General features: G+C 55.3%; 3 protein-coding genes across 20 annotated transcripts in view, besides 8 other annotated features; 2 read left to right on the top strand and 1 right to left on the bottom strand.

Annotated features, from left to right (window-relative positions):
- Positions 1911-2510: a silencer, noted in NCBI's record as "silent region_20387". NCBI's record gives its function as "represses an Ori minimal core promoter by ATAC-STARR-seq in GM12878 lymphoblastoid cells {active_cell/tissue: GM12878}" and the evidence as "EXISTENCE:reporter gene assay evidence [ECO:0000049][PMID:35858748]".
- On the top strand, positions 2277-9823 carry ASB6 (ankyrin repeat and SOCS box containing 6). Of its 3 annotated transcripts, NM_017873.4 has the most exons (6): positions 2277-2541; positions 3706-3887; positions 4920-5026; positions 5118-5226; positions 5769-5855; positions 5971-9823. In NM_017873.4, exons 1-6 carry the CDS (start codon positions 2429-2431, stop codon positions 6636-6638), a joined length of 1266 nt encoding a protein of 421 aa, NP_060343.1. In that variant the 5' UTR covers positions 2277-2428; the 3' UTR covers positions 6639-9823. The 3 variants fall into 3 exon arrangements, with proteins under 3 accessions (NP_060343.1, NP_821066.1, NP_001189332.1); NM_177999.3 differs by lacking the exon at positions 5118-5226; NM_001202403.2 differs by lacking the exon at positions 5769-5855.
- Positions 3217-3773: an enhancer, noted in NCBI's record as "H3K4me1 hESC enhancer chr9:132402934-132403490 (GRCh37/hg19 assembly coordinates)". NCBI's record gives its function as "activates a minimal SCP1, AML or CMV promoter by ChIP-STARR-seq in naive and primed H9 embryonic stem cells {active_cell/tissue: H9 hESC(naive and primed)}" and the evidence as "EXISTENCE:reporter gene assay evidence [ECO:0000049][PMID:30033119]".
- Positions 3774-4331: an enhancer, noted in NCBI's record as "H3K4me1 hESC enhancer chr9:132402376-132402933 (GRCh37/hg19 assembly coordinates)". NCBI's record gives its function as "activates a minimal SCP1, AML or CMV promoter by ChIP-STARR-seq in primed H9 embryonic stem cells {active_cell/tissue: H9 hESC(primed)}" and the evidence as "EXISTENCE:reporter gene assay evidence [ECO:0000049][PMID:30033119]".
- NTMT1 (N-terminal Xaa-Pro-Lys N-methyltransferase 1) overlaps positions 8293-22776 on the bottom strand; it is a 27264-nt gene continuing 12780 nt past the window's right edge. For 2 of the 15 annotated variants that reach the window (NM_001286796.2, NM_001286797.2), the window contains exons 2-4: positions 11563-11778; positions 10122-10374; positions 8293-9220 (exon numbers count right to left, since the gene is read on the bottom strand). In NM_001286796.2, coding sequence (NP_001273725.1) covers positions 8964-9220; positions 10122-10374; positions 11563-11724 — 672 coding nt within the window. In that variant the 5' untranslated portion in view covers positions 11725-11778 and the 3' untranslated portion in view covers positions 8293-8963. Of the gene's footprint in view, positions 9221-10121; positions 10375-11562; positions 11779-15712; positions 18266-19115; positions 19132-22776 lie in introns of those variants that run through there. The other 13 variants (NR_104596.2, XM_047423258.1, XM_047423257.1 and 10 more) reach the window with 13 other exon arrangements.
- Positions 12287-13077: an enhancer, noted in NCBI's record as "H3K4me1 hESC enhancer chr9:132393630-132394420 (GRCh37/hg19 assembly coordinates)". NCBI's record gives its function as "activates a minimal SCP1, AML or CMV promoter by ChIP-STARR-seq in primed H9 embryonic stem cells {active_cell/tissue: H9 hESC(primed)}" and the evidence as "EXISTENCE:reporter gene assay evidence [ECO:0000049][PMID:30033119]".
- Positions 17754-18292: an enhancer, noted in NCBI's record as "H3K27ac hESC enhancer chr9:132388415-132388953 (GRCh37/hg19 assembly coordinates)". NCBI's record gives its function as "activates a minimal SCP1, AML or CMV promoter by ChIP-STARR-seq in naive H9 embryonic stem cells {active_cell/tissue: H9 hESC(naive)}" and the evidence as "EXISTENCE:reporter gene assay evidence [ECO:0000049][PMID:30033119]".
- Positions 17901-18140: a silencer, noted in NCBI's record as "silent region_20386". NCBI's record gives its function as "represses an Ori minimal core promoter by ATAC-STARR-seq in GM12878 lymphoblastoid cells {active_cell/tissue: GM12878}" and the evidence as "EXISTENCE:reporter gene assay evidence [ECO:0000049][PMID:35858748]".
- Positions 20145-20194: an enhancer, noted in NCBI's record as "active region_29118". NCBI's record gives its function as "activates an Ori minimal core promoter by ATAC-STARR-seq in GM12878 lymphoblastoid cells {active_cell/tissue: GM12878}" and the evidence as "EXISTENCE:reporter gene assay evidence [ECO:0000049][PMID:35858748]".
- Positions 20205-20344: an enhancer, noted in NCBI's record as "active region_29117". NCBI's record gives its function as "activates an Ori minimal core promoter by ATAC-STARR-seq in GM12878 lymphoblastoid cells {active_cell/tissue: GM12878}" and the evidence as "EXISTENCE:reporter gene assay evidence [ECO:0000049][PMID:35858748]".
- The window catches only part of C9orf50 (chromosome 9 open reading frame 50), a 9700-nt gene continuing 9427 nt past the window's right edge, over positions 22504-22776 (top strand). For both annotated transcript variants that reach the window (XM_011518656.2, XM_011518655.2), the window contains exon 1: positions 22504-22599. The gene's annotated coding sequence lies outside the window, so the exon portion shown is untranslated. The remainder of the gene's footprint in view (positions 22600-22776) is intronic.

The following is a 22776-nucleotide window of genomic DNA, read 5'->3' as shown; positions in this document are numbered from 1 at the left end:
AAATGTTTCATCTGGCTGGGCGTGGTGGGCTCACGTCTGTAAGCCCAGTACTTTGGGAGGCTGAGGCGGGTGGATCACCTGAGGTCAGGAGTTCGAGAATAGCCTGGCCAACATGGTGAAACCCCGTCTCTACTAAAAATACAAAAATTAGCCTGGCGTGGTAGCGCATGCCTGTAATTCCAGCTACCTGGTAGGCTTGAACCCAGGGGTTGGAGGTTGCAGTGAGCCGAGATCCTGCCACTGCACTCCAGCTTAGGCAACAGAGTGAGACTCCGTCTGAAAAATAATAATAATAATAATAATAAATAAATAAATATAAAAATGTTTACTCTAAGACCCATCGGATTGTCTTGAAATGCGCCTTTAAATGTTTTTTTCCTGGGCTGGGCAACTCTCGCTGTCTGGCAGGTTCCAGGGAGAGGGGCCCAACTTGGCAGAGCAAGGCCCAGGAGGCCAACGCTGTGATGTGGACTGCTGGGGCGGGAAACCCCTCTTCATCATCAGCTTCCCAGAAGCAAGAAGGCATCAAGGCCCCCCCACGCAGACTCCAGGTGGGAGAGGAGGCTCAAATGCATGGCCCAAGGGGAGGTGCCTCGACTCCAGAAAAGTGGTTTTTCCAAGGCAAGCTGGAAATGTCCATTTCCATGTGAGCAGAATTTCCCGATTTCACCCAGGGAGAAATTTCTTTCCTACAGCGAGAACCAAGGCAGAAACGTGCTGGCAGCTGTGGACTCTGCGGCCTGGAGCTGCTTCTAGGAAGCCCAAGCTGGTGTTGCCCTAAAGGGGCTTAAACCCGGCTGCCCACTCCGCCCCTTCTTCCTGAACCAGAGGGTTTTGGCTCCTTCCCACTGAATTCCACTTCCACCAACAATTACAGTGCGCTGGCTCCAGCATCTCAGGTGAGTGTGATTATACTTTTTTTTTTTCTTTTTGAGACAGAGTTTCGTTCTTATTGCCCAGGCTGGAGTGTGATGGTGCGATCTCCACTCACTGCAACCTCCGCCTCCCGGGTTCAAGCAATTCTCCTGCCTCAGCCTCCCAAGTAGCTGGGATTACAGGCGCCTGCCACCACGCCCGGGTAATTTTTGTATTTTTAGTAGAGACAGGGTTTCATCATATTGGCCAGGCCGGTCTGCAGCTTCGAACTTCTGACCTCAGGTGATCCACCTGCCTCGGCCTCTCAAAGTGCTGGGGATTCTACCCATTTTACAGATGAGGAAATCCAAGTTCAGAGACAGGCGGTAGCACACTCCTGTGTTCCCAGCTTCTCGGGAGGCTGAGGCGGGAGGATCACCTGAGCCCAGGGGTTCAAAGCTGCAGTGAGTCATGATCACTACACTACACTCCAGCCTGGGAGACAGAGTGAGACCCTGTCTCTAAAAAATACACAAGATTCGGGCTGGGCACCGTGGCTCATGCCTGTAATCCCAGCACTTTGGGAGGCCGAGGTGGGAGGATCACGAGGTCAGGAGTTCGAGACCAGCCTGGCCAATATGGTGAAACCCTGTCTCTACTAAAAATACAAGAATAAGCTGGGCGTGGTGGCCAGCGCCTGTAATCCCAGCTACTCGGGAGGCTGAGGCAGGAGAATCGCTTGAACCCGGGAGGCGGAGGTTGCAGTGAGCCGAGATCGTGCCATTGCACTCCAGCCTGGGCAACAGAGCGAGACTACGTCCCCCAAAAAAACAAAAACAACAACAACAAAAAACAAGATTCACTGAGTCCATCAAGGCAGAGGTGGAGAGGGCTAGCAGCCGTCCTGGCCAGGTGCTCCCCGGGACAGAGAATAAGAAACTGAGGAGGGGACGTGCGAGTACCCTGGTCCTCATCATTCCAGTCAGCGGGCCGGGTGGTGACAGAGGTGGCCCAGCCCCTCTTCAGGGAAGGCGAGGGCCAGCCCGAACCGGAAGGGGCAGTGTCTGATGACCACAGCTCTCAGGGGCGCCCAGGGCCAGTGGGGCAGCGGCAGGGCCGAGAGCACGACCGGCGGAACTCGGACGGCGCCCAGCGGTCGCGGGCGGGATCGCAGGGCGAAGCCGAGCCGGGCCGGGCCCTGGCAGGAAGGGGCGGACCCGCCTGAGTCTCGGATCTGGCTTGGCTCGATCCTCCACTCTCCCACTCCGCTGGGGCCGCCCACTGGACATCGCCCGAGTCGGCCTGGCGGTCGTGCCCCAGGACGCGCCGAGGTCCTCCGAGCCCGCAGGGGGCGCTGTCGCCATATGGCCCACCCTGAGTCGGCGCGGGCAGGAAGTACGAGGGTCACTTCCGGCGGGGGCGCGGCTTGGACTGAGGAGCGGACCCGGCCGGGCGCAGGGGCTGGACTGGCGGAGCAGGTGGGGTCCGCGGCCGCCGGAGCGTTCCGGTCGGCGTCTGGGCATCTCGGCCTCGGCAGAAAGCGCGACGGCCCTGCTGCGCGGGGCCCGCGGCGATGCCGTTCCTGCACGGCTTCCGGAGGATCATCTTCGAGTACCAGCCGCTGGTGGATGCGATTCTGGGCTCCCTGGGGATCCAGGACCCCGAGCGGCAGGAGTCTCTGGACCGGTAACTCACCCCCTCCCGTGAGCTGGCCGAGGCCGCTCCGACCCCGCAGCGTCCCACTTTATCACCACAAGCCGGGCGGGGTGGATGCGTCCCCCTTGACAGAGGAAGGGACGGGCGGAAGCCGGGGTTGCGTGGCTCGGAGTGCGCGCTGCCCCGCGCGGATCCCACTCCTGCCCCTTGCATGGCGGAGACGAAGGGCGGGGAGGGCCCGAGGGCGGAGGCCCGCGGGTTGTCGCAGGGCCTGCGCCTCAGCCCCACCCTGTCGCCTGCCTGTCCTGTGCCACCCCCCGGCGTGGCAGAGGAGCAGGGTGGAATCCGTGAGGCCTCAGATGTTACCCCAGAGCAGTGTGAAGGTGGGCTTTTGTAGCAGAGTTTGCGTTTTTATAGACAAGAGCTGGTCTGTCGTGGACCTGCAGGAAAGGGGTCGGGAGCGAATCTGCATTCACTGCCCATGGTACTAGGCACCTGGGGTCCATCAGTGGCTCAGCAAAACCCCCGCCTTCTTGGCGCATGTGCTCCAGAGGAGAGACTGACAAGTAATTGTACGGCGGCACGCGAGGTGGAAGGGAGGGGAGAGCAGAAGGAAGGGGCTCGGCTCAGGTGTTGAGGGGGTTGTCAGTTGGTATTTCCAACACGTGGTAATGATGAGTCTCGCCATCCAGGGACTCTGGTGGAAACGTAGGCTTTCTTCATCAATATCAGCTGAAGGTCTCAATGTGAGGGGAGGGAGGAGGCTGTGTTGCTGTCCTGGCTGCAGGTGTTGCCGGGGCTGGGGTCCTGCGGGTTTGAGGATGGAAGGGCTTTCTGAGGAAGAAGCATCAAAGTCGGGCTTGGGCTCTTGGCCTCCAGGCTGGTGGTCCCTTCAGTCCCAGCAGCCCAGGTGTGTGAGGCTTTGTACCTAAGTCTGCGACCGGACTCTGGGCAACGCGGGAGGAGAGCGCAGACAGACCCAGCCCATTCTCCGCAAATCCCAGTCTGCTCCCGTATTAAGAGATGCAGCGTGGCCCTCTCTCTACTTCAGAGCTTCCCCCAAGCCCCTGTGACCCACAGAGCCAGGGCCCTGCTTGCTGATGATGATAGCAGGACTAAAGCCCACCAACCCACAGGCTGCGCGGTCACCCGGTCCCACAGCTGTGCCTACCCTCAGCCTCTCTCCTGTCCCAGGCCCAGTTATGTCGCCAGCGAGGAGAGCCGAATCCTTGTTCTCACTGAGCTGCTGGAGAGGAAAGCCCACTCTCCCTTTTACCAGGAAGGCGTGAGCAACGCCCTGCTCAAGATGGCTGAGCTGGGGCTGACGCGGGCGGCCGACGTTCTCTTGCGGCATGGGGCCAATCTCAACTTTGAAGGTCAGCGAGAGCCCCGGGGGTGGGCAGGTGGCTTAAACGCGGCCCGACGCTGGGTGGGCGCCCATGTCCCCAGCCTTGGCTTCTACCATCCTCTGAGGAGTGACTTCCCCCCCTTTATTTCCTGGGTGGCTGCAACTAAGGAAACTCCCATTGGGTGGCCTCCCACCCCCTGCGGGTTTTCACATGGCTCTTCCCACCTCTGTTCCAAGAGCGAGTGTTGCTGCTTCTACCATGTGATTGATTAGCAAACTTTCCCCAGCTCCCAGATTAATCCCCACTTCCATTAATGCAAAAATGCGGCTGCTGGCACTGTGCCCAGAGCTAAGGGAAGGTAATTTTCTGCTACTTACTCTGAGCCAATTTGTTTTTTTTTTTCTCATGCCGTAGGGAGAGGGGAAAACAGGCTGCATTAGGCATAAATCACCACAGGACACCCTGGCTCCTGGCTCCTGAGTGCCAGGGATGGAGATGGAGCCGAGCTCCTTTCTCTGTGTTTTTCAGCCCAGGGAGGGCAGGGTTAGTCGGCAGACAGGCAGGGCTGCCTTGTGACCTAATAGGGGCCTGAGACAGCCAGGCACGTCTCCTTTCCCCATCCGAAGACGGGCTTGGAGTCTGCTGGGCTCCTGGAGGGTCAAGGAGCTGAGACGGGAGGGCCGGTTCTGAAGCCAGTGACTTGGAGACCAGCTTGGAGAACCTGGCTGTTACCACCAGGCCTACAAAGCAGAGCCGCCAGAGCTGCTGTGTAGCGCGGCCTCCCAGCCATTCTGAGAGGGTGCGCCCCGTTTTATGGTCCCTTCTTACAGAAGAGGAAACTAAAGCCCCCAACAGCTTCAGTAGCGTGCCCACTAGAACACCCCGAGGGCCCTCTAGTATCTGGTGAGGACAGCTCTGTCCTAACCCTTGATGGTGACAGGAGGCTGGGCCTGTGCTTCTGGACACTTTAGGTGGGAGTTTGGGGCTGGGCTCTGGGTCCGGGGGCCCCATAAGAATGCGGACAGATAGGACCCACATGAGCTGTGTCTGCACCTTCAGACCCAGTCACCTACTACACGGCCTTGCACATCGCCGTCCTGCGGAACCAGCCGGACATGGTGGAGCTGCTGGTGCATCACGGGGCCGACGTTAATCGGAGGGACCGGGTAAGTGCCAGGTCCAGCTTGCTTTGAAGCAGGGTTGGGCAGGGGCCTGAGCAGCTTCCCAAGCCAACCTGGCTGTGCTTCCTTGGCTCAGATCCACGAGAGTAGCCCCTTGGACCTGGCCAGCGAGGAGCCTGAGCGCCTGCCCTGCCTGCAGCGCCTCCTGGACCTTGGAGCTGATGTCAATGCCGCTGACAAGCATGGTGGGTGCCTCCTGCAGGAAAGCAGGACAGCTGGGCCCCCAGGCACCTTGTGGGGGACACCCAGGGTGCCCCAGGACAACAGCTAGGTGGGCAGACTGGATGCTGGCCCTGGCTGGTGGCACAGCATGGCTGGGCACACAGGGATTCTGCTGACTTGCTGAGCTCAGAGGCTTCAGAGAGGCAGTGCAGTCATTGTCCCTGTGCTGGCCCTCAAGGGCCTTCTATAGGAAGAAATAGGGCATGTGTGCACTTAGTTTCCAAGAAACAATGGCTTCCCATTGGGAGAGGCCCAGCCAACATCTCAGGTAGCATCTTGGGGTCCAGAAAAATCCTACCTTTCCTGGCCTTTCCGCTCCCACTTCTCTGGGTGGAAAGGGAATGGCCAGAAGCCTGTCACCCTCAGCCCTCACCTGAGCTGAGAGTTGTCTCTGAAAGTTCATCTTCTGATCCTCTGAGTGTCTGGATTTCTGCCACCTCCTCTGGGTTGCCCTGACCTGGGCTTCCTGGCCTCCTGCTCCTCCTTGCTCTCCCTCCCTCCCTAGGAAAAACTGCTCTGCTCCATGCTCTGGCCAGCAGCGACGGGGTGCAGATCCACAATACTGAGAACATTCGTCTCTTACTGGAAGGAGGTGAGGCTGGCGCGCTCCTAGGCCTCGTCCTCTCACCCGCCCCTTCGATGTGTGCTGTTGCTTTGCCAGGGTTGAAGGCCTTCTCCCAGCATCTCTTGTTCTATGGCTCTTCTAGGGGCAGACGTCAAGGCCACCACCAAAGATGGGGACACAGTGTTCACCTGCATCATCTTCCTGCTTGGTGAGACCGTGGGAGGGGACAAAGAGGAGGCCCAGATGATCAACCGCTTCTGCTTCCAAGTCACACGGCTGCTGCTGGCACACGGGGCCGACCCCAGCGAGTGCCCAGCCCACGAGTCCCTCACCCACATCTGCCTGAAGAGCTTTAAACTGCACTTCCCTCTCCTGCGCTTCCTCCTGGAGTCCGGAGCCGCCTACAACTGCTCCCTGCACGGTGCGTCCTGCTGGTCTGGCTTTCACATCATCTTTGAGAGGCTCTGTTCCCACCCAGGCTGCACGGAAGACGAGAGCCATGCGGACCTCCTGCGCAAAGCTGAGACTGTCCTGGATCTCATGGTGACCAACTCTCAGAAACTCCAGCTGCCCGAAAACTTCGATATCCACCCTGTGGGCAGCCTGGCGGAAAAGATCCAGGCCCTCCACTTCTCCTTGAGGCAGCTGGAGAGCTATCCCCCGCCCCTCAAGCACCTGTGCCGTGTGGCCATCCGGCTCTACCTTCAGCCGTGGCCTGTGGATGTGAAGGTCAAAGCCCTGCCTCTGCCCGACAGGCTGAAGTGGTACCTCCTTAGCGAGCACAGTGGCTCCGTGGAAGATGACATCTGATAGGTCTCAGGCTACAGGAACGGGGGACACGGGCAGCTCAGGTCAGCCTGTTGGTAGATGCTGGGACAGCATTAGAAGAGGGTCTTTTTGATCTGGGAGATGAGACGGGATCCTTCATGAGAAAAGCCAGCCAGGTAGAGCCTGAAGCTGTGATCACTCCAGTGGTGAAGGGTGCAGCTCTGGTTCTTCCAGAGAGACTGCCCCCTTCCCTCCAGCGGCACTCCAAGTCCCCCCCATGTTGGAAAGAGGAACAGGGCTTGGATTGATGTTTATACCCTCTGAATTGGAGGGCAGTGCCAGGGCATTTGCAGAAGCTGGGAAGGACCAAGCCTCAGCACCCCAGGGCTGCGGGGCTCTTGTTGGCCGCACGTGGCAGTGCAGCTGGAGAGGAAGCCTGGGGCACGTCCTGTGCGGTGCCACCAAGGCCCCACCCCTGCCCCTTTTCCTTCCAGGTTCTGTTACTCACAGAAGTGTTTCTGGTGGGCTCTGCGGGAGAAGACACTAAGGGCCCCACAGGCTTGTTTCATGGTGTTGCAAGCCAAGCTGGCCCCTGCCTGTTCCTGTAGCTCTGGGGCCAGGTCAGCCGTGGCCCCACCTACCAGAACTGTGCTCTGCTGGCAGCTGTGCTTTTGCCAAACCCAGGGCCTCAGCGACCATGACTTCTGCTAAAAAGCAATCATGAGTGCGTGGCTGGGGACAGACCTCTCTGAAGTGTCTCCTGTTGTGAGGGGCTCACTTTGGAGCCACTGAAGAGCCGACTGTGCCACCCACTTGCGAGCCTCAGTCCCTTCCAAGCTGCACTGGTCATTGGGAATTGTGTAAACACCTCTGGGGATAAGCTGAGGTGACTAAATGATATATTTATATTATAAGATTAAACTGACTTTCTTGGCCTTAACAAGGTCCTTATATAAAATTTCCACCCCGCCCCTCCATAGTTCAGGATAGAGGCTCCCACAGCAGCCGGTAAGGAAGTGGGTGGCAGGTGTGAGGGGATGCTGTGTTTGGGGGGTTGTTTCCAAGTCCCTGCAAAGAAGCACCACTCTAGACTGGCAAGGGCCTCCACAGTGTGGAGGTCCCATTTTATTATTTTTTTTTTTCGAGACACTCTGTCACCCAGGCTGGAGTGCAATGGTGCAATCTCGGCTCACTGCGACCTCTGCCTCCCAGGTTCAAGCAGTTCTCCTGCCTCAGCCTCCTGAGTAGCTGGCATTATAGGTGCCCACCACCATGCCTGGCTGATTTTTGTATTTTTAGTAGAGACGGGGTTTCGCCATGTTGGTCAGGCTGGTCTCAAACTCCTGACCTCAGGTGATTCGCCTGCCTCGGCCTTTCAAAGTGCTGGGATTACAGACATGAGCCACTGTGCCCGGCCCCCATTTTATTTTAGTTTTATTTTGAGACAGAGTCTCGCTCTGTCACCTAGGCTGGAGTGCAGTGGCGCAATCTCACCTCACTGCAAGCTCTGCCTCCCGGGCTCACCCCATTCTCCTGCCTCAGCCTCCTGAGTAGCTGGGACTACAGGCGCCCGCCATCACGCCTGGCTAATTTTTTTTTTTTTTGTATTTTAAGTAGAGACGGGGTTTCACCTGTTAGCCAGGATGGTCTCAATCTCCTGACCTCGTGATCTGCCCGCCTCGGCCTCCCAAAGTGCTGGGATTACAGGCGTGAGCCACCGCGCCCAGCCCCATTTTATTTTTTACTTTAAATGCCTGCCAAGGAGCAGCCTCAAGCCCAGAGAAGACTGAGGCTACGGGGAACTTCCCTTGCTGCAGGCTGTTGTAACACTTTAAGGGCCCCAGGTCTCCACTGCCAAGCAGGACTTGGCACATGAGCACCCACCCCACAGCACCATCAGGCAGCACCCATGGGCTCCACCAGCCCAGCTCTGTCCCTCCCCTAGGTAAAGATCACACTGAAGTCTTCAAGTCCCCAGCAACCAAGTTGGGGGTGGTTTCCTTCCTCTTCAGGCAGCCAGGCCCATGGCTGGAAGGCCGGGCTGGAGGCCCAGGGAATCGGTTACTGATGTGGCCACCCTATTCCCACATGGGGAGCACCAGGAGCCCTGGAGCCCCTTCCACCCAATCCCATCTCGCAGGAGAGCAGGGTCTGGGCTCCTGCCTCACCGCTGGTTCAGCAGCACCCTCCCCGCCGGGTCCCACCTTGCCTTTTGAAGAAGAGCCCGCATAATGAGTGGACGGCAGACAGCTATATTTAGTGGTGCCTCGACACTCACGAACCGCCAGCGTGGCGCCTGGATCTTGCCCAGCTGCCAGCTCCCCCCACCAGGACTGTGGTTCCTCAGTTTCTCCTGCCAGCCCCGGCTCATCTCAGGGCAAAGCTATAGACATGGTAGATCTCATCGGGGAGGTTCTCCTGCCTCTCCTCGGCCAGGAGGCTGAGGCCTGCACTGCAGATGATCCTGCGGACCACGTCAAGGTCCCGGCACACGCTGCTGTCCACGTCGTCCAGAATCACGCCCTCCTGGGCCATGTTGTCTTTGATGACGATGATGCCGTTGGGGCGGAGGCTGCCCTTGCAGCGCCGCAGGAACTCGGCCAGGTGCTGATCGGTGAGGTGGCCTGGGGAGGGCAGAGGCAAGGTTACCAGGGCACCATGCAAGCGGATGTCGGCACTGGATGGGATGTACTTCTCAGCCCCGCTGAGCCCCTCATTTGTGCCCAGCATTTTGTGTGCACACATGGCCTCATTGGCTCTCAGTCCCGAGAGATTTACTAAACCCCAATTCATAGAATAGGAAACTGTGGCTCAGAGGTCATCTACCTAAAGACACATTAAGCCAGAATTTGACTTGACGGGATGGCTTACAAGTCCTGCCTGATACCTACACACCATGATGCCCCACCCCTGCCAGGCTTGGATCGGAGGAGTGAACCTGGGCTAAGAGTTTGGCATTGCAGGAGCTCCCAGAGAGACTGCCTTCCCTACACTAGAAGTCCCCACAAAGGCTTCTGAGACCACAAAATACAAGGCCAGACCTAGAGTGTCCACAGCAGGCCTGTGCTGCCCGCCTCAGGAGGTGGCCGACTGCTGCTAGCGGCCTGCCGCCACGTCAGCAGCCCAGGGCACAGCGCTCGAGGTGTGCTGTTAGGCTAAGAGGGTGCAGGGCTAGACACGAAGCTTAAACTATTCATCTTATTAAAAATAAAACCCTTATAAAACTCCTCACTTTGAATGCAGTAAGTTATTGGCCATTAAAATTTTTTCAACAAAAAACTGCACCCAAATGGATGGTAGCAGGTATTCAACTGAAACAAAACCTAGAAGGAAGAAATCTACCTTTTAGGCCGAGCCTGTCCCTCAGTCCTGGGAAGTACGGGGTGGGGGTGGGCCTGGGCGGGGTGGGGAATCCTCACTGGCCCACTTGCTGCAGGAGTGCAAAGCCCTGGTCCTGACACCTTATGGGGAACGCGAGTGGCAGGAGACATACAGGTGAGCAGGGAAGGGCGGTGGAACCCTCACCTATCACCCACTGGATCCAGATCACGTCGTAAGAGTCCGGCTCCGGGGTGAAGTCCTGGAGCCCACAACAGAAGTAGTTCCTCACCCTCTTGCCCTCCTCCCCCAGGTAGGTCTTGGCTTGAACCAGGAAGTCCTCCGTTATGTCGACCATATCCACCTCTCTGAACAGCGGCAGGAGCAGCCGCTTGGTGATCCTCCCAATGCCAGCTCCACAGTCCAGGGCACAGGACGTTCCTGTCTTGTTCGGGCCTTCCTGAAAAGCAGAGGCATATAACCTATCAGAGGGACCCTGTCACCGCACGTGCGGCCCTTCCTCACGAGCCCTAGGACTTAGACTCAAGTCAGGATTCCAGGACTCCGCACAAGCTGAGCACTGGTGGGGAGGTCTGTGCTGGCTGCCAGCTTGTACGGAGTCGAGGGGATGAGCATGGGAGGACACACTGCTGGGCCACACATTCCTTTATCTTTGAAAGTTCAGGTTGCATTCTGCATTCTGTTCAGGTTGGAATGCAGTGGTGGGATCATGGCTCACTGTAGCCTCGAACTCCTGGGCTCAAGCCATCCTCCATCTTCCCACCTCAGCCTCCCAAGTAGCTGGGACTACAGGCATGCGCCACCATGCCCAACTCATTTTTTTTTTTTTGTATTTTTTGTAGAGACGGGGCCTCGGTCTGTTGCCCAGGCTGGTCTCAAACTCCTGGGCTCAAGCAATCCTCTCACCTTGGCATCCCAAGGGGCTGGGATGACAGGAGTGAGCCACTGCCCCTGCCCTGGGCCACACATTTCTAAATGAAAGCTAATTTCCACTTAAAGGTGATAACTTGAACAGGTGCACTAATCTCTCCTGAGTCTCCAGGTAAACAACGGCAGAGAGGAATGGGGAGAATGGAAGCGGGGCAACAGGTGAACAAGGGTGCAGAGAGGGAACATGGAGGGAGGGGAGGCGCTGGATGGAGCAGGTGGCCAACAGCAGCCTCCAGTGCCAGCCATGAGACAAGAAGGTGGGGGGCTCCAGGACTGGGGGTCCCAGCCTGGTACAGAAAAGGCTGGGGGTGGAGCAGAGGGTGGAAACCATGGCACATAACTAGGAGTCTTCGTCCAGAATAGCCAACACCCTCAGTCCAAACACCCGTGGACATGGCAGGAGAGCAAGGGTTTCGTCCCTGGCAAAACCCAACAGTTGAAGAGAGGTTTGCCCAATTCAGGCACCTCAATTCTGCCTAACAGCCAGCTCCTGTCTGGTAACCCTGAGGCTAAGTCCACAATCTAGAAGTTACCCCACTGTGCCCACCCAGCCCAGCTCCTCAAGGCTTTGGGGTAGGTACCAAGAGATAGCCAACAATCCTGCAGTGTTACATGTGTAAAAGGTGGCACCCCACATGGACTCGGCAGTGCCACCAGAGCCACAGCCTCTCCTGGAGAGCACGCCAGACCTGCCTACCCTCAAAAACCTCTGCAGAAACTTCCGGGAGCTGTTGATGTCGATGCTGGAGATGTGGCCATACCCCCCAAGCATGCCGTCCACCGTGGGTGGGATTTGTTTCCAGTAGGTCTTGGCCTTGGAATAGAATTGCTTCTCGTCTTCTATCACCTCGCTCGTCATGCTGTCACCAACCACGGCTCTACTCAAGCACCACGATCAGCAACCGCGACTCTCCTGGGTAAGGAAGGGGGCGTGAGTCAGCGGGCCAGGGACCTGGCAGAAAGGCCCCCAGGGCAGAGGGCCAGTCTCACACCAGGCTTCACAAGTCACACATCCTGCTGAGTGCAGAGAGAAGTCCAGGGTCCCCAAATCTGCTTCTACCCCTTGGATAACAGCATCTTCTGTCTTTTGCACTCAGAGCACCCGCCCCAAGTCCTGGCTTCAAGTTCTTTTACATTTTTATTTTTTCTGGAGTGCAGTGGTGTGATCATAGCTCAATGCAGCCTCCAACTCCCGAGCTCAAGAGACCCTCCCACCTCACCCTCCGGAGCAGCTAGGACTACAGTTGTGTGCCACCATGCCTGGCTAATTATTTTTTGTAGAGATGGGGTCTCACTATGTTACAAAGGTTGGTCTTGAAGTCCTGACCTCAAGAGATTCTCCCACCTTGGCCTCCCAAAGTGCTGGGATTACGGGTGTGAGCCCATGTGCCTGGCCTGGCTTCAAGTTCTTGATATGCTCTATATGACACCTGACTCAGTGGCTTCAGGGCACAGAAAACCCTGATCAATAAAGAGAAACGACCGCAAAGCCGAGAGCACCAGCAGACCCTGGAGGGCCAGGGAAGCTTCCACGCCTCCCTTCCTCTGGCTCAGAGCACAGCAACAACTCACGGTGGGGTCCAGTCCTCCGTTAACAAGGAGTGGGGACTCTGTGCCAGGCACCGGGCTGTGAACCAGGCAGCCAGCCAGGCAGAAAACAATTCTACAGACACAACCACACCTGCAGGGAGGGCTGCAGAGGAGAAGCGCCAGTGCCAGCAGAGCACGGAGGGAGGAAGTGGAGTCGGGTGCGGGGACCAGGGAAGGCATCCCTGAGGAGGGGACGCGTAAGCTGAAACCGATGGATGGGCAAGAATAAGCGCAGTAGGTGGAGGGCGACGGCACTGCTCCTGGAGGGAAGGACAGACAGCCCTCGCGGCTGCCAGTTCCTGGTCTCACAGTCAACTCTAGCAGTTTCGACTGCATCCTACAGAGCAATGAGTCAACCACCCTGAGGCCCAACAGAGAGTGGCCCGGGAAGACCGATGCTTCTGAAGACTGCTGGCGGCGGTGGAGATGGCAGGGGGATGAGGAGACGGTTGCCACGGTAGAAGGAGAGAGAACTAGAAAGCCTCAGCTGGGTCCTGGCAGCAGAGCCCAGGCCCACCTCACCCTTCAGGACAGCGATGACAGTTGGGCGGCTCCGTGCTCCACGGGTGGCCATTCTGCCATAAGCTTCCCAAGGCACAGTGCTGTCACCAAGGCACACCACGCTTAGGGGCTGTTCTAGTTGCTGTGAGGCTTGCCAAGACCTCAGAGAGCTCTAGTCCAGGAGGACAAAGAACAAAGGGAAAGAAAATACACAGCAGAAAAATAAGGATTCTCATGGACCCACAAAGTGTCGAGGACACTCAAAGGGCAGAGGAATCTCCTCCCAACAGCAGATAGGGGCAGCCGCCTGGAGGAGGCAGCCCGAGCTGGGCAGCCAAGCACAGGGAGTGCTGGAGGGGGTGGGGCAGACAGAGGGAGCAGCCGTGGGACAGCATGGGCCATCAGAGGGCGGAGAGTGGAGCGGGGGAAGACTGTGGAAGGTGAGCTCGGAAAGGCAGACGGGGCCTGGATGAGGGTGGCCTCGAGTGCATGCTGGGCACCAACTCTCGGCTGATGTGTTTCCCACACTGCCAAGGCCTAACCTAAAGGAGGCAGAGTGAGAATGGCAGTGGCCGTGCTGAGGACACACAGCAACAGTGGGTGGTAGGAATCCCAGCAGCAGCAGCTGCTACATCCTGATAAACCCATGGTAAAGGGAAAATACCCTCGGTGGAAAACGCGCAGCTGACTGGGAGCTGCAGCTCACCGCCTCGCACGTGCTGCCTCCACACGAGGAGAGCAGGGGGCTTCTAGCAAATGCCTGTCGCCAAAGTTGACAAATCGTAGGTCCAAGACCGTCTGCCTGACTCCTGGAGCTACAGGGTCAACACGGAAGAGTCCACATATGGAACTCGGGTACAGTCCTCAAACACAACTCAAAGCTTAAGACCCAGGAACACTCTAGGGGCTTCAAGAGAAGTGGTCAGAGGGAAACGGGAAAATGCCCTGAGAAGGAGCACGAGGCCTTTGGGAAGCAACTATGAGGAAAGAGAAGGGAAACTAAACACAAGACAAGCTGGAGAATTTTTTCTTCTTTTTTTTTAGAAAGGGTCTCACTGTCGCCAGACTTGAGTACAGCTCAGGTGATCCTCCCATCTCAGCCTCCAGGGTAGCTGGGACTGCAGGCACATACCGCCACACCTGGCTAACTTTTGTATTTTCTGTAGATATGGAGTTTTGCCACGTTGCCCAGGCTGGTCTCAAACACCTGGCTGCAAGCAATCCACCTGCCTCAGCCTCCCAAGGTGTTGGGATTACAGGCAGAAACCACTGCACCCAGCCAAGATTTTTCATTGGTCAAATTTGTTACTGGCCCCAGAACTATATTCTGCACTACTATATTCTGAACCTGTCCTGAAAGAGAAGGAACTTTCCAGAAGCAGTAGGCCCACCCCGCCCAGCCAGCTCAAGAATACTTCTAACAGATGCAACGGGGTTCTTCTTAGATCCGTGATTGGGTCTTCTCACCCTTAGCAGAATCCTTTGGCTGTGCCTAGAGAGAAGCCTGCTTAAACTTCTCTTCAGATTCTTGTTTTTTTGAGATGGGGTCTTACTATGTGGCCCAGGCTGGCCCCAAACTCCTGGGCTCAAGCCATCCTCCCTGCTCAGCCTCCCAAGTAGCTGAGATTACAGGCGCACGCCACTGCACCTGGCTTCCCTCTTCAGATTCTTGAATCCGCTCGCAGACTGACCCCTCACTTTACTGTTCACGCACAAGGGTTTCAGCCACAATGAAGAAAGGCAGCAGTCACTTCACCAATCAGGGAGCCCTTTGGGGTAACAGGCTGGGGAGGACCTTAGTTCTAAATATTGCACATAACACCCTCCCCGCAAGCTGACCACAAAGCTCCCACACTGGTGTCCCAGCACTGGGAACAACACTGCCGGAAGGAGAAAGAAGCCCACGGCTCAGAAACCCCATCTCTGTCAAAAATACACACATTCTAGTAGCTACTAGGGAGACTGAGGTGGGAGGATCACTTGAGCCTGGGAGGTCAAGGCTGCAGTGAGCCATGATCCTGCCTCTGCATTCCAGCCTGGGCAACAGAGTGAGACATTGTGTCAAAAAAAGAAGAAGAAGAATGAATTCTTCTTCCCACCAGACCTGCCAATCCTCAAGACTGCTAGATGTGCCCGGGTAGCTGACAGGAAAAAGGGCCACCAATCTGAATGTCACCATGTAGCTGGGTTTGGTGGCTGCTATGGTCTGATGGCGTAAGGACCAGGTTAGGTGGGCTGCCTGCCCCTCTGCCAGCAGGTACCGGAGCAACCATGTCACAGCCCTCCATCAGTCACTCAAGAGAGGACGGCATTCAAAACTACTCTATAACCTATAACCTATAACCTGAGCCCTTTGGGAGGCTGAGGTGGGAAGACTGCTTGAGCCCAGGAGTTTGAGTCCAGCCTGGACAACAGAGCGAGACCCTGTCTCAAAAAACAAAAAACACTTGGTGGCTGGGAAAATTAAAGACAAAGGTTAAAAAACGAACTACTACTCTTCCACACCATGCTGGCACAACTCCCATTCAGACTGGACCATGGCGAGAGCAAGCCTGTCTCCCTCTCACCGCCCAACTTGGCAAACTGAAGGTTTTGTATTCAGTTCTCTCTCTCGCCTGGCCGGGGAGCTCCTGAGAGCAGTGGCAACATTTGAGATTTATCACCATGCTTCTCTTGCATCCCATGAAACACAAATATTCAACAGAAAGTTCACCTCTGATCAAATGAACAGAATAAATCTGGGGGCAAACACATACCAGGCTGGACTCCATCCGTCTCCTCTCCCAGCATGCAGCTTCCTGGGGGTAGAGACATTACCTTGTACACCATTAGCCCAGTGCCTGATACCAGGTGGGCATTGACTAACTGGTTGCCAAATAATGCAAGAATGGGCTTTGTGCAGCTATAGCCATTTTCCACTCTAAGAAAATCCTACAGACAAAAGTCCAACCATTCAGAACTGGTAAATACTGAAGGCCTGAAGGCTGCTACCGACAATATAATTCTGTGCTTTACCAAAAGCCTTGTAACATGATTCCTTTAAATGTCAGGGTCCCCTGAATAATCTAATTTACAAGAATTCCACTTACACGCAAATTCTGGGAACAAGCCAGGGGAGGCACATCCTGGCCGGGAAATAGCAAGCCTGACTTTGACATCTGCCCTAACAGCTGATTCATTAATAAACGGGATTCCTGGGGTCCTGGCTACATTTTGCCTCGTGGTGTCCAGATTGGAGTGGGGCAGGAGGAGGTCCCTAAGAGTCTGAGGGAACAGCAAGGTCAGTCAGCCAACAGCAGGTGGTCCTGCTACACTCTGCTCCAGAGCACAGATGCCGTATGTGGCTGAAGGGCCTGGGAGGGGGCCAGGAGCACACGGGCTTTGTGTGCACTCTAGGCTAGCTCAGAGAGGAAGACAAACCCCTCATGCCTGGTAAATGGCTGCTCAGCCAGTAAATGTGATCCTACATCCTTCACAGTCACCTGGCTGCTGCCTCCTCCTCCCCGCCAAGGTGTTCAGACCCAAGGTACTGCATCTCTTCTCCCACGACCCATGGAAGAAAACAGTGCTGAAACTGTCACCGGCAGACTTTTGCAGTCATCTCATCCTCCTCACGTAAGTCTCTACGGAAAAGCCTGCCTAAAAGTTACCTCCACCCTCTAGCAGCCTAGTGGACAGAGTCCATCCTCCCTGGATCTTTGTGGACAGCAGCAGGCCACATGCAAACGGCAGAGTGCTCTAAGAAAAAGAAGGAAGTGAGAAAGGGAGGGAAGAAGACAAAACAGGGGATACATTTAAAAACTAACAAAGGCTCTGATGGAGCCAGATGAACCAGATCTGAATCTTGGCTCTGCACACCTGCTGTGTAAGCACAGACAAGACATTAAACCTCACCATTCCTCAGTTCACCTATAAAATGGAACAGTAATACCGACTTTACAGAAAGGCTGTGATTAAAAGTGCATATGAAAAGCTTAAAGTGCTTTGCACAGTGCCGGGCACATATTCTCTCTTGAGCTTAGAAATCTCTGTCAAATGAGATTCTTGTCAACTCTGCCCACTATGAGGATCAAATGGGAAAACTGCCTTAGAATGCCACAGAAGCTGTATTGGACACACCTAGGGGACTGTTACTGGTATGCTGGGCGGCCAAGCCAGCAGACTCAAACAGCTCTGCAAATCAGCCAGAGTGGGGAGTGAGCTTCCTCTGCCTATAAGCACAGAACCCCCACCGAGATTTTTTAGATGCCATCCTTGTGATCCTAGGGCTTCCGGCCTCCACCAAAACGCTCCATGCATCCTTCCAACCCCCGCACAGTCCTCAGTTTACATAGAGAAAAACCAGCACACTAAAGGAAGTGACGTGTCTTTAAACATACAAACAGGAAGCCGAGAACAGAATTAAGGAGGGAATCCAGGCTCCTTATACCAGCCCTGGTTCCTCCCAGAGGCTCATCCCATCTCACTGGGCAATCATTCTACACACCACAACCACCGGTTACACTGTCCCTCCCCGCTGTCAGGGCCTCTGACACCAGTTGTGGCAATCACTTATAGTACAGAGGAGAAACCAAAGTCCAGAGGGAGAGATCACACAGTTGGTGCGCAGCAAAGTCTGGGCTTTTCGATATGGCAGCCTCCCTGCAGACAGGCTGACCTTGGCCGCAAGGGCTCTCGGGCTGTCTTTTTTGAGCTGCACCTGTGTCGGGCTGGCGCTCGGGTGGCACCCAAGGTTAAATACGACAGCAACTTCTGTGCAGCGGGCACTTAACTGTGCCAGGCTCTGAACTGGGCATTTTACCGATTTTACCGATTCCTCCCATCCATCCTCCAAGTGGGCGCTCTCCATATCCCTGTTTCTCGGAAGGGAAACAGGCTCAGAGAAAGGGATTTGCTGCGGTCTGGGGACCGGGGTGGGGGAGTGCCCTGCCTGGGCTTTGAGTGCCTTGACTTTCCTCCTGTACCCCGACCCATGGACTGCTCCGTAGTCCCTGCCCAGGTCCGGCCCGTAGACCTCTTGGGGACGCGCACGTGAGGCCTGTGCCGGCCCGCGCGCACGCGCCGGGTCACGTGACGAGCCGGGGACCCGGGACCTCAGGGCGCCGAAACAGTTAGGGGTCGCAGCCTCCCCTCTCCCAGCGGCTGCCTACCCTTCGCACCGCCTCGCGCTACTCACTCCGGGCGGGGGCTCCCGGGACCGAGAGAAGAAGATGGGGAAGAGGAAGGGAGGGCGGCGGCGGCGGAGACGCCACAAGCCAACCGCAGCTCCGCCAGACCACGACCAGACGCGACAGCTCGCGGCGCGCGCTGCCTTTGTCCGCCAACGTCACTTCCGGGCGTTTAGGGGCGGGCCCATGGCTGGCTCCACCCCCTCGCTCAGCTCGCCCCTCCCCCGCGCGGGCTCCGGATTTAACTTAACTTCTTTTGAAAAATAATTTAAATTTTTTTTTTTTTTTTTTTGAGATAGAATCTTGCTCTGTCAAGCAGGCTGGAGTGCAGTGGCGCGATCTCGGCTCACCGCAACCTCTGCCTCCCAGGTTCCAGCGATTCTCCTGCGTCAGCCTCCAGAGTACCTGGGACTACAGGCGTGAGCTACCACACCCAGCTAATTTTTGTATTTTTAGTAGAGACGGGTTTTCACCATGTTGGCCAGGCTGGTCTCGAACTCCTGACTTCAAGTGATCCGCCCGCCTCTGCCTTCCGAAGTGTTGGGATTATAGGCGTGAGCCACCGCACCTGGCCTAATTTGACTTCTTTAAAAAAAAAAAATTAGAGACGGGGTCTCACCCTGTTGCTCAGGCTGATCTTGAACTCCTGGCCTCAAGCGAGGCTTCCACCTCGGCCTTCCAGACTGCTGGGATTACATGCGTGAGCCACCGCGCCCAACACAGGTTACAGCTCAAAACTTGACTAAATTGACTTTTGGGAATCTAGAAGGACCTCCCGAACGGAAAAGAGCCGCAGCGTCGCCCTCTCCCCGTCCCCAGCACGTACAACAGTTCGTTTGGAGGCTGCAGGCTGGACTTCTAAAAACGAGTGTGTTGTGCGGGCTTTGAGTAAAAAGGGAAAAAAAAGCCATTGGTCCTCAAATCCACCCATCTCCATTAGCATCTTAAAATAATACCGACCCCCCAAAATAAATAAAATAAAAAGAAATACTCTCGGCAGTGCCATGGGATTCCCACTGAAATGAGCAAAACAAGCCCATGACGTTTCCATTCCAAAAGCGTGGCCCTTCCCTAGGCTCCTCCCATGCAAAGAAATTCTGGAGCTATCTCCGAGGCAGCGGTGATGGAAACGGGAGCTTGCAGGTGGGTAGAGCCTGTTAACATTTCCGAGCTTCAGTCTCCTGTCAGAAGAGGAAGTTGAGCAACGTAATAATTACTCAACTTCTGATGCTCTGAGAGGGTTAAACTTGTGGGACATTGCACGTCAGACCTTCAGCTCAGCACCTGCAGTGGGTTCTCAGGAAATGGAAGCTGTTATAATGACAATATCCATCTTAAGTTCATTTTTCCTATACTATTAATAATATCCTTGTGTTGGCAGGGCACGGTGGTGCACGACTCTAATCCCAGCATTTTGGGAGGCCAAGGCAGGCGGATCACCTGAGGTCAGGAATTTGAGACCAGCCTGGCCAACATGGCAAAACCCCGTCTCTACTAAAAATACAAAATTAGCCAGGGATGGTGGTGCATGCCTGTAGTCCCAGCTACTCTGAGGCTGAGGCAGGAGAATAGCCTGAACCTAGGAGGCAGAAGTTGCAATGAGCCTAGATCGCGCCATTGCTTTCCAGCCTGGGTGACAAGAACGAAACTCTGTCTCAAAAATAAAATAATAATAATACTATCCTGGTGTTCCTTCCTCTGGGCGACGCACACAGAAGGTGCTTAAAGTGTGTTTGCTCTAAATGTGTTGAAAGCTACGGTAGAAAGGGGATGCTAAAAAGCCCCTTCTGCATTGAGTCCGCAGGATGTGTGTATGTGCATCTTATTTGGCATACCCTCTAGACTATTCTAGGTCACAACTGCTACCCCTGGTCTGAGCCCCTCTCCCAAGCTTCATTTTCTGTGTCTTTAAGCAAAGGGATTGATCCTGGGCAATTTCAATCGGTGGGGGTGTCCGGAATCCTCCGCCAGGGGGCAGCTCTGATCCAAGCTCTCTGTATGCCTAAAAATCCAGCCCTGTCTTATTTCCTGTCAACAGAAGAGCAAGCCCCTTCCCCACAGCCACGCTCCAAGGCCTTCCCAGGACTGGCCGGCTCCCTGACCTCAAAGCCTCTGGCATCTCTGAATTCCCAAGCCTAGCACATAGTAGTTCCTTGATAAATATTTGCAGAGTGCAAGGGCTGGAGGGCTCCTTAGAAACCATCTAGTTAGGCCAGGCGCAGTGGCTCACGCCTGTAATCTCAGCACTTTGGGAGGCCGAGGCAGGTGGATCACAAGGGCAGGAGATCGAGACCATCCTGGCTAACACGGTGAAACCCCGTCTCTACTAAAAATACAAAAAAATTAGCCGGGCGTGGTGGTGGGCACCTGTAATCCCAGCTACTCGGGAGGCTGAGGCAGGAGAATGGGGTGAACCCAGGATGCGGAGCTTGCAGTGAGCTGAGATCGCGACTCCGTCTCCAAAAAAAAAAAAAAGAAAAGAAAAGAAAAAAAGAAACCGTCTAGTTAATCTGGTGTTTCGCAGCCATTAAAAAAGACACATACCCTTTAAATAAATACAAAAATATCTCCCTCCCCCACTCAATATTGTAGCTCTCCAGGAAAGTATGTCCCTCCATCCCTGGTGAGAAGCATTGACAGAAAATAGAATATATCTTTGGCGACGCGTTCTCTAGTGAGTCACTCTGTTATTTGAATTACAAAGTCGTTTCTTCATTTTCAAATTATGAAACTATGCCACGCCAGTGAAATACTCATGTAAATGACCTCTGTCTCCCACCCCAGCTTCACAATACTATGAGCTTCCTCTCGGCCCTCTCCCAGCCAAGACTCAGAGATAAGGCCCAGGGAGTCCTGAGAAAGAAGACACTTCTCCAGGATCACACAGCAAAACAGCAGACCATGGACTTGAAAGTGGGTCTGTTAATTTCTTTTCTTCCTTCCTTCCTTCCTTCCTTCTTTTTTTTTTTTTGAGATGGAATCTTGCTCTGTCGCCCAGGCTGGAGTGCAGTGGCGCGATCTCCGCTCACTGCAAGCTCCGCCTCCTGGGTTCACGCCATTCTCCTGCCTCAGCCTCCCGCGTAGCTGGGATTACAGGTACCCGTCACCACAACCAGCTAATTTTTTGTATTTTTAGTAGAGACAGGGTTTCACCGTGTTAGCCAGGATGGTCTCGATCTCCTGACCTCATGATCCACCCGCCTTGTCCTCTCAAAGTGCTGGGATTACAGGCGTGAGCCACCGTGCCCGGCTCTTTCTTTCTTTTTTTTTTTATGGAGATGGAGTCTCACTCTGTTGCCCAGGCTGGAGTGCAGTGGCGTGATCTCGGCTCACTGCAACCTCCGCCTCCCGGGTTCAAGCAATTCTCCTACCTCAGCCCCCCAAGTAGCTGGGACTACAGGCACACGCTGTCACGCCCGGCTAATTTTTTTGTATTTTAGTAGAGACGGGGTTTCACCATGTGGCCCAGGCTGATTGCGAACTCCTGAGCTCAGGCAATCCACCTGCCTCGGTCTCCCAAAGTGTTAGGATTACAGGTATGAGCCACTGGAACCTGGCCTCTTTTTTTTTTGTGAGACAGAGTCTCAAATGATCTGTGTAACGGATTAGAGTTGGAGATGTCAGCATGAGCTCATGTTTAGCTTAATATAAGTACAGATGGTTACCTATAGAAATATTTATAGATATGTGTGTGTTTCATAGTATACACACACATTTCTTTGTCAGCTGAGACTGCCTGAAAGAAATGACATCTCAATAGCAAGAAGCACACCTAGCACCCAGACCTTGGATTATTATTATTATTATTTTTGAGATGGAGTCTCGCTTTGTCACCCAGGCTGGAGTGCAGTGGCATGATCTCAGCTCACTGCAACCTCCGCCTCCCAGGGTCAAGCGATTCTCCTGTCTCAGCCTCCCAAGTAGCTGGGATTATAGGTGCACAACACCATGCATGGCAAATTTTGGTATTTTTTGTAGAGACGAGGTTTCACCATGTTGGCCAGGCTGGTATTGAACTTCTGACCTCAGGTGATCCGCCCGCCTCGGCCTCCCAAAGTGCTGGGATTACAGGCGTGAGACACCGTGCCCCGCAGGGTCTGTTCATTTCTAGGTCCATTGTATTCTGACTGCCTGGTCTTGGGGTGGAAGTTCTACTTCCAGAGCCACCCAGCCTAAGCCTCCCAGATCTGGAAAGGGTAGGCCTGGCTGCCCTGGTCAGAGTCCCAGTGCCCCAGGTGGCTGCGGCCAGGGCATCCAGGGCACAATAGCCCCACCCTTAGTCCCCAGGCCTCAGTGCCCACTGCTACTCAGATGCCCAGGGGTGAGGGGCGGATCACAATGACCCTGAAGCGGCCCAGAGGCAGCCGGGAGGGGCTGGGAGAGGCACCAGGCAGGGATGATGGGCTCTACAGCCTGCCTGTAGAGAGCTCTAAACTCACAGGACCTTCTAGGGCCCCACCCAGAAGCCCACCAGGGTGAGTGTGACACTGCCCAGGAGTCAGCTCAGAGCTGACAACAATCTGGGAGTGGGGTGTGGTTGGGAGGAAGCAGGCTTAGAAACCCCTCAGTGTCAGAGCTGGGAGTAAGACTGGGGCTCTGCCTCCCAAAGGGGGAGTTTGTTAAAAGTCTGTGTCTTGGCCAGAAGTGGGGAC

The sequence above is a fragment of the Homo sapiens genome, chromosome 9 (genome assembly GCF_000001405.40).
Source record: "Homo sapiens chromosome 9, GRCh38.p14 Primary Assembly".
NCBI classification, from domain to species: Eukaryota; Metazoa; Chordata; class Mammalia; order Primates; family Hominidae; genus Homo; species Homo sapiens.
This window is presented reverse-complemented; position numbering and strand designations above follow the sequence as displayed.

Excerpts from the sequence above, each read along its gene's own strand:
- ASB6 (NM_017873.4), top strand. The coding sequence starts at position 2,429 with ATGCCGTTCCTGCACGGCTTCCGGAGGATCATCTTCGAGTACCAGCCG. Across the intron at positions 5,027-5,117 it reads ACGTTAATCGGAGGGACCGG|ATCCACGAGAGTAGCCCCTT; the intron begins GTAAGTGCCAGG and ends TCCTTGGCTCAG. Across the intron at positions 5,227-5,768 it reads CAATGCCGCTGACAAGCATG|GAAAAACTGCTCTGCTCCAT; the intron begins GTGGGTGCCTCC and ends CTCCCTCCCTAG.